The sequence below is a fragment of the Homo sapiens genome, chromosome 3 (genome assembly GCF_000001405.40).
Source record: "Homo sapiens chromosome 3, GRCh38.p14 Primary Assembly".
Lineage (NCBI taxonomy): Eukaryota > Metazoa > Chordata > Mammalia > Primates > Hominidae > Homo > Homo sapiens.
Genome location: NC_000003.12, coordinates 101,989,716 through 102,001,023, shown reverse-complemented (window position 1 = coordinate 102,001,023; position 11,308 = coordinate 101,989,716). Strand labels below are relative to the sequence as shown.

The 11,308-nt window shown below is 39.6% G+C and overlaps 1 long non-coding RNA gene across 1 annotated transcript in view; it reads right to left on the bottom strand.

The window, feature by feature from the left end:
• Positions 1-3,097: 3,097 nt before the first annotated feature.
• RDUR (RIG-I dependent antiviral response regulator RNA) overlaps positions 3,098-11,308 on the bottom strand; it is a 57,068-nt gene continuing 48,857 nt past the window's right edge. The window contains exons 3-4 of the long non-coding RNA NR_026934.1: positions 6,127-6,463; positions 3,098-4,543 (exon numbers count right to left, since the gene is read on the bottom strand). This is a non-coding gene — a long non-coding RNA (RIG-I dependent antiviral response regulator RNA). The remainder of the gene's footprint in view (positions 4,544-6,126; positions 6,464-11,308) is intronic.

Here is an 11,308-nt window from a genome sequence, read left to right as displayed (position 1 = left end):
AGATATTATCTCGCCTACCAAGCCATAAAGTTGGGTGTGCACAGCAGTACTCCATCATCAAATGGAAGTAATATAAGTGATGGAGCCCAAGAAGACCCTGAAGGCATAAGTAAATTACATAAAGAAGTGACCCAAATGCCCGTGGCTCCCACTTCTGCTATGCTAACTTCTCTCTCCCAGACTGCACCTAGGGCCTCATGGGGAGTTCCCTATGATCAACTGACAGAAGACCAGAAGACTTGGGCCTGGTTTGCAGATGGTTCTACATGACATGCAGGCACTACTCGAAAGTGGATGGCTACAGTACAACAGGCCCTCTTTGGAACATTCCTGGAGGAAAGTAGTGAAAGGAAATTTTCCCAGGGGGCAGAAATCTGAGCAGTGCACCTGACTGTTCATTGCTTGGAAGGAGAAATAGCCAAATAGTTGATTATATACCAGTTCAAGGGCTGTGACCTATGGTTTGGCTAGATGGCCAGGAACCTAGAAGTAATGTGATTGGAAAATTGTCTTCCCACATAAGCTACCATGATCCCGTAAAGAATCATGCTTGCTTTTGCACCAATGATTCCCCCAACAACCGAAGTAATATCTGATGCATGTTCGGTACTCAAAGAAATATGTGTGAACATCATGAATCAGTTAATGGACAAACCCACTCTAATCTGGCTTCCTTCCAAATCATGCACATGAAACTGTTGCATGTTTCCAAATCCAATAGACACATTTCTCTATACATGTTATTCCATTTCCCAATTAGTCCACAATTCACTCTTTGAAACTCTCCTCTTTTGGCTTTCATGAGACCACTCTTTCCAGATTTTTCCCTGGTTCCACTGTGTTTTCTTTTATTAGATACTCTTTATAGGCTCCTCATTGTCTCGATATGATTACATTTTGAGTGGCCCAGAGATGGATCCTGGGCATTCACTCTCCTTAGGCAACCCATGCAATCTATGCCAGGCTTGACATGTTGCTTCAGTATAGAAACTGCCATGAACAAATCAGTTAGAGGGTGGGGACGATTTCTGACTTTTCCATTTCAAATGAAATTTCTGGTTAGATACTTGAGACTTCAGAATAGATGAAATGATTTATTCATGTGCAAGGTGGAATACTGGGAAACCCCATATCAAGTTCATAGTCTTGCCTTAGGGGCTTTGTGATATTCTCAAGCTGTAGTTGCCTGCCCTCCTAGCCTGAATATTGTACTTTTTCTCTGCCCAGTCTTGCCACCTAGTCTTCCTCTGATCTGTCACTTGCCCACTCCCAGTGCCTTTGTTCTCACACTACACCCTCTTTGTACCTCCTATCTGCAAAATCTATTATGTACTTTCTGCAGGCACACACAGGCAGTGTACAGCAACAAGGTAATCATGCGTGAGAAACAGAAGCGCAATTAACATCTGCACATTTTATCATATGGCCACAAATCACCTCCCTGAATGGACTCAACTCGCATTTTTTCTGTCATTCATTCACCACTTCTGCATGCTCCCCTGCAGTAGCCACAGTGCCCTTTATTCAGAGGTTAGCCAAAGAAACCAGACTTGCCTCTGTGATGTACCATGACAGCAATGAAAAAGGAAGACCAACAGAAAACAAATGAGCTATAGTACATCCATTTCTCACACTCTCTTTCTGGCCAATTTAAACACTGCTGGATCTATAAATCAGGACCACATTTTGTAAAGTATATCATCTTAAAACACAGGGAAAAAAATTAAAGGCCAACCCTCCAGACAAAAATATTCAACTAGATGTTTACAGGCAGAGGATTCCACAGGTTTAAGACTCCCAGACATTTTTTCTTGGTAACAGATGTATTTTTCCCTATGCCTAATACCATCTCTCTATTAGTATAGTTAACAAGTGAAGGCAGGAAGAAATAAAAAGACTCTTGAGTAATTAATCTAGTTATTCTTTGTCTAGGTACCTGCCTGAGTAGATGTATCTCTCATAATTAGGAAGCTGATGACTTGGTGAGATGTGCCTTCGCCAATTTAATCAGCTAACACCCTTAGGATTTACAATCTAGAAAATAATGGGTAGTAATTTTTAAATGACCTAAATTATTATTTTATTTACTGCACCATTCCTGTTCATGTTTGTTGCAACTTATTCTGAACCACCTCAGCAGAAAGAAATGTAAATTATTTGCAAGTTCTGCTTGTGTCTAGCTCAGCTCCTGAAAACAAGGATATATAGCTCAGGGAGCTGACTTATGCCCTTCCTCCTACTTTAGCACTTAGTACAGAGAAGGACTGTTTTATGATCTGTTTTTCCAGATGGATAATGCAGGGCCAAGCTGCACCATGTTCCTAAGAGAAAGCCAAGAACATAAGTCACACAAGCCCTCAGGAAGAGAAGGAAAGAATGAGTGACAGTAGACCGCAGATGTGAGCAAATTCATGGAGGATGGAAACTGAATGAGGGAATGGTGGCTGGCTTAACTTAACAGAGGAAAGTGCATTCTAAATACCTATCATAAAAGCAACAAAGAGAATAAGCCTATCCACTCCACACTTTGGAACTGCCTGTTTAAAAGTTGATCCCCGGACCCCACCAAGTCTACAAGCTCCACCTCAAGGACAGAATGGAAACTGTATTCATCGAGGGGCTTTTAATTGACAAATAAAAATTGTATATATTTATCCATGTATAATATGAAGGTTTGAAATATGTATACACTGGGGAATGGCTAAATCAAGCTAACTAACATCTGCATTACCTCACATACTTATTTTTTGTGGTGAGAACACTTAAAATCTACTCTCTTAGTAATTTTCAAGAGTACAATATATTGTTATTAACTATAGTCACAATGTTGTCTAGCAGACCCTTCTCAGAATCTAACAAAATGTTTGGCTAGTAATAGGGGCTCAAAAAGTATTTGTGAGTGAAAAGAGTGAATATATTAATTAATTTGTTAATGTATTCACTGGCAGGTGTATTTACCTAATTCAGTCTTTAAAATAATGTTCTATATTCCAAGTTTTCCTTAGGGAGTTAACCCAATATTATAGCTTGATTGTTTACACAAGACCCATAAAACAAACTATAATAGCAATAGTCAACAAAGAGATGATATTGGCATAATATAATGCTATATTGGTTTTATTGTGCTGCCATAACAAATTACCAAAAATTTAGTATCTTAAAACAACACAAAGTTATTGTCTTATGGTTCTATAATTCTATATAATTCTATAATGTCTTATGGTTCTATAATATAAGGTCAGAAATTCAAATATGAGTCTCACTGCACTAAAGTTAAGATGTCAGTAGGAAGCCAGATGTGGTGGCACATGCCTATAATCCCAGCACTTTGGGAAGCCAAGGCGGGAGGAGTGCTTGAGCTCAAGAGTTCAAGACCAGCCTGTGCAACATAGTGAGACCTCAATGCTACTAAAAATAAAAAATAAAAACAAAGATGTCAACAGGGCTGAGCTCCTTTCTGGAGGCTCTGGAGAGAATGTTCCCTTGCTTTTTCCACCTTCCAAAAGCCACCCACCTTCCTTGGCTCCTGGCCCTTCCCTCCATCTTCAAAGTCAAAAACAACTGGTCAAGCCCTTCTTACAGTGCATCTCCCTGAGCCTGTTTTCATCATCACATCTCTCTCTGACCCAGCTAAAAAAGGTTCTTCTCCTTTAAGGACTCATGTGATTAGCTTGGACCCAACCAGATAATCCAAGGTAATCTCCTCATTCCAAGGTCCTTAACCTCAATCACATTTTCAAAGTTCTTTTGATGTGTAAGATGACATATTCACAGATTCCAGGGATTAGGACCTGGACATCTTTTGGGAACTTCATCAATGGGACTAGACTTCCAGTCCAGAACCATTGTGTTGTACCAGGTAAATGTCCTTGTCACCTCTTGGAAAGGTCCGGTTCCCCTGTAGCAATTTCAGTGTCAGTCACGCTGATCTTGGGAGGGAAATTCTCCCACAGCTAAATCATCAAATATCACCTCAGGGTAAGCCCCCAAATATTCCCCTCATAACAAGGCTTAATCTGTCTTCAATCATAATCACCTAACGGATTCTTTCATCCAGATGTGTCAAGCTGACCCATTTTTCTCAAAGAGGTAAAGAAACTAACCATGTAGAACAATACACCTGCTAAAACACACTGAAAATGAAAAAAAAAAAAAGAAAAATGTAAATTAGCTTTCAGAAGAAATCCTTTCAATTCATGCTTCATTGGAATGGTATCTTTCCACTACTAAAGGTCATTTATCAATCCAGTTTTTTTATAAAGGTTTTCTTTTCAGTTTGGTGATGGTTATTTTTCTCACTTCTGCCCTTGGCTTTTCTCTTATCCCACCATGCAGAAGGAGCTGGTGGGCTTTTATTGTTCTGTCTTCCACCATTATTGGAGAATATTACTCTCAATCCCAACATTCCTGGGAGTAAATTCGTCTTCCCTCACAACCTGGTCTTCCTTGCCTTCTATATCTCCACAGCTCCTGCTGCTGTAGGATTGTATTCAGACAAGCCCTGGTTGGTTGAGTTATTGTTACTGTTCCAACATCATGACACCTGCAGTCAAAAGAGGGCCCAAGACATTTATTAATGTGCACCTCTGAAGAAATAGCACCAGAGTGTTTTTCAAATGCCTATAAGCTTTACTTGAGAATTGACTGTTTATTCCAAACTAAGGTTCTTTCTTTGATTCTTCAAGGTTTGAGAGATCATGTTAGAGCTCACGTTAGATTGCTCCATGACACATTGTTCTTATCTAGGATATGCTGCTGCTCAACCTTCTATGAAACTGAGTTTTGAGCAGCTGTAAACAATTAAGGGGACATTTCCAGGGAGAAGGGGGATGTGTAATTCCAGAATAAAACTTAAATCACTCTATTTGTTATACTAATTTTCCCAGGTAAACAGTATTATGAAATACTGCCAGTTGGAAATTTTCATTTCCCAGCATTGAGAAACATTCAAAATATGGGAGAAATCCTCCTACTAGGAAGTTTATTAACAAAGTTTTATTAAGATGTTTAAATAAAATTCCAAATTATCACATAAGTCAAACATTAAGTGACGGTTTACAAGTAGATGTTAAAATTTCCTGGGTAACCTTAGTGCTAAAACTAGTGACTCATTCTTCCTTTCTCTGACAGACACACAAGATCTGGGTCCTCTCAGCTTTCCCGAGACATTGCTGCAAATTATATATTCGGTCCTCTCCCACACTCAGCCACATTCTTCACTGGGTAGCTGTCCCATTCTTTCCATAGAACACCCTCTGGCACTCCATATACTAGACCTTGGAAGTGGCCAGGAAAACCTCCCTCGAGCCCCTCAGCTGCACACTAACTTTCCTCTCCACTAACAGTGACTCTGGCTTCAGTTGCATAGGTTTTGATCTTTTCCCTTCCCAGATACTAGAAGGGCATGGGTCACCTACTGATTTTTGCTTACCATGCTTCCTTTCCACTGGAGGCCCTCATCACCTACATTCCTTTCATTGTAACCATCAGAAAGGCAATTTATTCATAATTTCTTTCACTGGTGGTCACAGTTTTGTTTCTCCTCCTCCACCATCCTGCCCAATAATATGTAATTCTATGCTTTCATCAGTGACTTTCTATCCTGTTTCAATATTTTTTTGATCCACAGTCTCATTTTCCTATTACACCTCCTACATTCATGGCTGTGAGCTTACGCAGGTATTATGGTAGCATCACATAGCAAATAATGATAGGCACAAAATCCATGCTGAAAAATAGAAAGTTTTAGTTGCTGTAATTGCTGCTGGTTATGCAGAAGGGTAGGCACACAGAAGACTATTTACCTTTACTTCTAAGCAACAACTAGAGCATCTCTAGAGTCAATCAATGTCTTATCTTACTCTTAACTGGCTTGCAATAACAAGACAATATTTCAAATAGTGAATAAGGCAGCTCCTTTTTAGGTCCACTGAAATATGGATCTAAAAAGCTATAAAGCTCATTAATTAATCACAATTATCTTCACCTTTTCTATTCATGCAGCGATTCCTTGTTTGAAGGCTTTATCATGTGTCATAAAACCAAAGCCAATTTAAAAATAAAAGCACGTTGTTCATTACTATATAATTTCTAGGAAATACGTGATTGATAACCTATAGTACTTACCACTGTGCCTAACACAGAGTGAGCTTCTCAATAAATGGCTATTGAATGGATGGATGAGTTAATGTGGGAAGAAGGTAATAAAACTTATTTCCATATACTGCACATGACAGTTCATCCATTACTTCAAAGTCAGAACATATATGCTGTTTCTTGAATGAATGCCCAGCATTTTGAAAAGAAGTAGATAACTGAATGTAGATCAAGGTAAAATCCAGCAGTGATGACACACCTCCATGCCATTTGGCTCCATTTTTCGTCTGCCTGTCACAGCTCCCAACCATCGTGTCAGAACTCATTCTGTCTTCCTTATTGAAACTATTATTCATAGTCAAGGTATCTGCAACAAAAAACAAACAGGGAAATCAAATGTTTTGCATTCATTCCTCTTGGAGACAGCTCACAAGTCAATCTTTCTACTTTCACCTCCGCAAACTCTTTACCAATCAGCACCTCTCCCACTGTGCCTTAGAAAATCTTTTCCCACCCTGATTTGGAGAAATACAAATCTCAATGTTGAATGGAATACCAAAGGGCAAAATAAATACAGCTCTGATTCTGTATGGGGTGGCATCGTACTTTTTTTGGCTTCATAAATTCTCTCAACTGCAGAGAAGAAGCAGAACCAAAGCTGAGATTCACAGACTTGAAATTCTCTGTCTTAACTCAGGTATTGACCCTGTTTTAGAGAGGAAAGTCCAGAAGCTTTGGTCAATTTGTCATCATTTGCATTCTTGGGAGAATGGGGGAATCCATTTGGCATAGGCATCCAGGGACTTGAACCTTCTCTGTGGAAATGTGGTGGGTATAGTTTGGGCCAGAATCCCAGGTTCAAACAAGTAAGTCTTACTTTTAGATTCGAAATCTTCCTGTTTATAACAGTAATAAGAAATGATAGGGATGAGTGACAATATCATATTATATGACCCCCCTCCTTACTTGAAACTGTGTCTGGGTTAGACCTAATCTAGATTTTTAGATGCCTGCAATAGGTTATGCGGAGCCGGTTTTTATAACATTGATTCCACAATGCTAATTGCTTCACCAAGCATCATAAGGATAAGGCCACTTGCTTGCTTCTTTCTCAATCAACAACATGCAACAAGAATGCCCCTGTCCTGTCCTCCAACTAAACTATGTACTCTAATAATGTAAGAAAGATACATAAACATCTCCTAAAAAAGGTCAGATGAGATAAAGACAGTTTGTTTCAGTTTAGCTAGAGTCACCATCAGTTTTAACTCATCTAAGGACTAAAAACCAGAATGCTTTTACAGCCTTTCATCAACAGCAAAGAACAATTTAGTCTGAAGAGACACAATTTACAGATTGTTAACTGCAGTTTCACATAATCTTTTTGAAAATTTGCAAGATTGTAGCGGAAAAAAAGTAAATAGCCCTATGATTAAAGTTACATTGCCAGTGTTTGATTCTAAAGGGACCAATGTTCAAAAGCTGCTATGGATCCCATGCTGGAAGGTGAGGTACTCAATGTACAAAGCACTTGCCTCTCCCCTCATCTCACCACCATCACTAACATACCCAGGATTATGGGTTGGCCTCTGTGGCTATGAGCAAGCCACCAGCCCAACTGCTGCCATGTTCTCTTCTGCAAAGGAACTATCCACAGAGACTAGCACTCAGTGTACTTCAAAAATGAAAGGATAAACTTAGCCTTAGGACGCCTATCCACATGCCAGGCTGGGAACACCCACATGTAAATCATGCTTCCAAATCAGCATTTCACTCCAGTGCCTGCATGCCCTTTAATTGTTCCTGACTTCTATCCTTCAAATCTGGTGCAGCCTCCTATGCCTGTGGGTGGTAGAGTTTTTCTGTCTCTGCCACAGCCAGAGCCTCTCAGAACATTAGACCAAATCTGGCCAGTGGGTTATTGTTCATGGAAAACAACTATGCGTCTCTGAAGACAAAAACCACAAGCTATTTTCTAATCACTGAATAAATTGAGGAAAAGTAACAGCCTCTCCTAGATAAATGCAATTCATCTCCCTAACAGCTCTGGGAAATGCTCCATCTCTGTGCAGAACTCAGTCTTTACATGCCACACAGTATGTGATAACCATAGGGAAAATGTAAAAAAAAAAAAAAAAAAAAAAAAAAATGACCACATTCCTCTGGGTTGCTAGTGCCTCCCTCAAAATTCTCTTTCACCTGCTACTCCTAGGTCTCTATGGTCAGCTAATAGTTTTTTAATCCCACTCTTGAATGGCAAACATACAGCTCCCAGCCTTACTTTATGAACTTATATTTACAGATATATTTTGTCTTTCATTGATTTTCTACACACAAGATTCTCAGAAATAAATGCAGTCAAAGAGGTACTGTAACTTACCTACCGCTCAAAATTAGTCAGTTTTTAATAATGGGGAAATCTACTTCTAAACTCTTCTCTTAAAGTCTACTTCAGAAGAAGCCCTCTGTATTAGTCCTTTCTCACACTGCTATAAAGAACTGCCCAAGAATGGGTAATTTATAAAAGAAAGAGGTTTAATTGCCTCATAGTTCTGCAGGGCTGGGGAGACCTCAGGAAACTTACAATCATGGCTGAAGGGGGAGCAAACACATCCTTCTTCACATGGCTGGAGAATACACTGAGTGCAAGCAGGGGAAATGCCAGACACTTATAAAACCATCAGATCTTGTGAGACTCACTCACTGTCACAAGAACAGCACAGGGGAAACCACCCCCATGATCCAATTACCTCCACCTGATCCCACCCTTGACATGTGGGGATTATGGGGATTATAATTCCAGATGAGATTTTGTATGGGGACATAGCCAAACCGTATCACCCTCTCTGTCACCAAACCTTCCCTTCTTCATGTACCAACTGGCACACCACCAGGAATTTGAAAAAATACATAGAGTGAGCGAGGGCTGATCCTTGCTGAGAATGAAGATCATAGATCCAGAAGAGAGATTAAATATGCAAACCCAAATTTCCAAGATCATTGGGGTTTCTGCCACAGTATTCTAAAGACGGCACAGGAGGAGCCAGGAAGCTGGGTCCCCTGAAGCTCTAGTTTCTTACTTCCCAAGGATGTCTACTAACTAATTAGAAGTAAAGAGGATAAGGCAGGAGATTGGAGCAGAGAGTCATAGCCAGGAATAGCCAAGGTAGGGCCACCAGAGTGTTTCTAGATATCTCAAGCAATGGTTCCAGAAGTAACTGCTGTGTACGTTACCAGAGGCAGGGTCACACCCTGGTGATCACAAAGAATTTTACATTGTTTTGATGCATTTACTCCCATTGTACTCTCTAATTCTAAAGAAACAGAGCATCCAAGGAATATTAAGCACTTTTACCCAAGATATTTCATTTTATTAATACTAGCCCTTTAGAATTTTAATCAGTACTAACACAATTATTTTTACATAAACCAGCCTGGTTTTCTGTAGCATGTTTCTGACAATGGTATAGAGATTTAGCAATAATGTATTTGACCTGGTAGTTTAGGACCCTGGTTTCTCTCAACCCAGACCCTCCCATAGTTATTTGGTTAGCTATCTGGCAGGCAAGTAATAAACAAACCACTCCTTTTATATCTTCACCCATACAGTGGGGTGGTTAGATTAGAATAGTCTAAATTCCAGCTAATTCTAAGGTTCTTCCATCATTTGGTACATTTATTGAGCTCTCTAAGTACCTAGCATTATTGGAGGCATGGTGGAAACACACACAAACACACACACACACACACACAAATATATTTTTAAATGCCTCCACCTTCAAGGAGTTTAAAACTTAATTAGTTAATACTCTGGATCAAACTAGACTATGATTTCCTTAAGGGCTTGTATTGGGCCTAATTTATTTCTGTCTCCCACAGTGTTTAGAGGAGTGTGTATTAAATAATTAAATAATGCATGAATGAGCAAAAATGCACATGCCTAAAGCCAACACCTGTGGGAGTATAACACTGAAAGTAAGAGAAGATCAAGTTCAGAAAAGGTGTGATTAGCATCAGAAGAAGGCAGTGAAAAGCAATGCACACCAGCCTCTGAGGATGTGATAATTCCAAAGACAAATGATACAAAAAGCAAGAGTCTCCAGGATGCTGAGAGACTTGTGATTACTGTGCCCTGGGATGTTTTCAGGTTTCCCGCTTTCCATCAGGTAAAGCTTCCCAGTAATAATGCAGCCTGACCAGAACCCAAAATAGGATGGAATTTGGATAGCTGAGGAGAAAGTAGAAAATTCTACAAGGAATTCTTTAGAAAAGAAATAAATTTAACATGTTTGAGGGTAGAAGTGATCAGACTTACCAATAAATAAATAAGATGTCATGCTAGAGAGTGTATCCATTCATTTGTTCAACAAATATTTATAAATATTTACATAAATATTGAGCATATGCCTTGTGCCAGTTATGGTTCTGGGAACTGGGGAGACAGCAGTGAACAAAACAGACAAAATTCCTGCCTTGATGGAGCTTTCATTCTACTTGGGGGGAGACAAAACAAAAGAAAAATATAGAATGTGTCAGGTAGGAATAACTGGTATGGAGAAAAATAAATCAAGGAAGGGAGAAATGCCTGTCAGGAAAGGCCTTAGTGTGGGTTTAAGGAATGGAAAAACTAACTTATACATGTTCTCACAGCCCTGTATCTCTTCAGCTGTCTCTCCTTTGTCTAATTCAAATCCACCCTGCAGTGGCATAATCCCATTTTTACTCCTCACCTTCCCATTTCATGTGTGATAAGTACAACAGAGACCACGTATTTATCCGAAATTTGTACCAGGCTGCTTAACCCAGGTCTCTGACTGGGTTGCACCAAGTCTCTAAATTTGCACCAGGTCTCTGACTTCAATCATTGCCTCCAACTTTGATGGAGCACTGAGCCAGCTCAATATGAAACTTGAGAAATCCATATGTGTGTGGTGACAGACGCCTTTATAACACGCTCCATCTCCTTCTTATCGAGCCTACCTCTCTGTAGGCCACTCAGGATCCATGGTCTCCCCTTTAGGCTATGGAAAGCAATAAATGGTTTCATAGTAGAAATAATGTTTGGAGAGTCTCTATCTAGCAGTAGGAAGATAAGGTAAGAGGTTATTACTTGAGAATGTGAGGTTTTAAAGGTGACAGTAAAAAGGGGAAGGAAGATAAAACAAAGTAAGTAAAGAACTATTTCAAGGAAATTGTATAGGATGAGGTAATG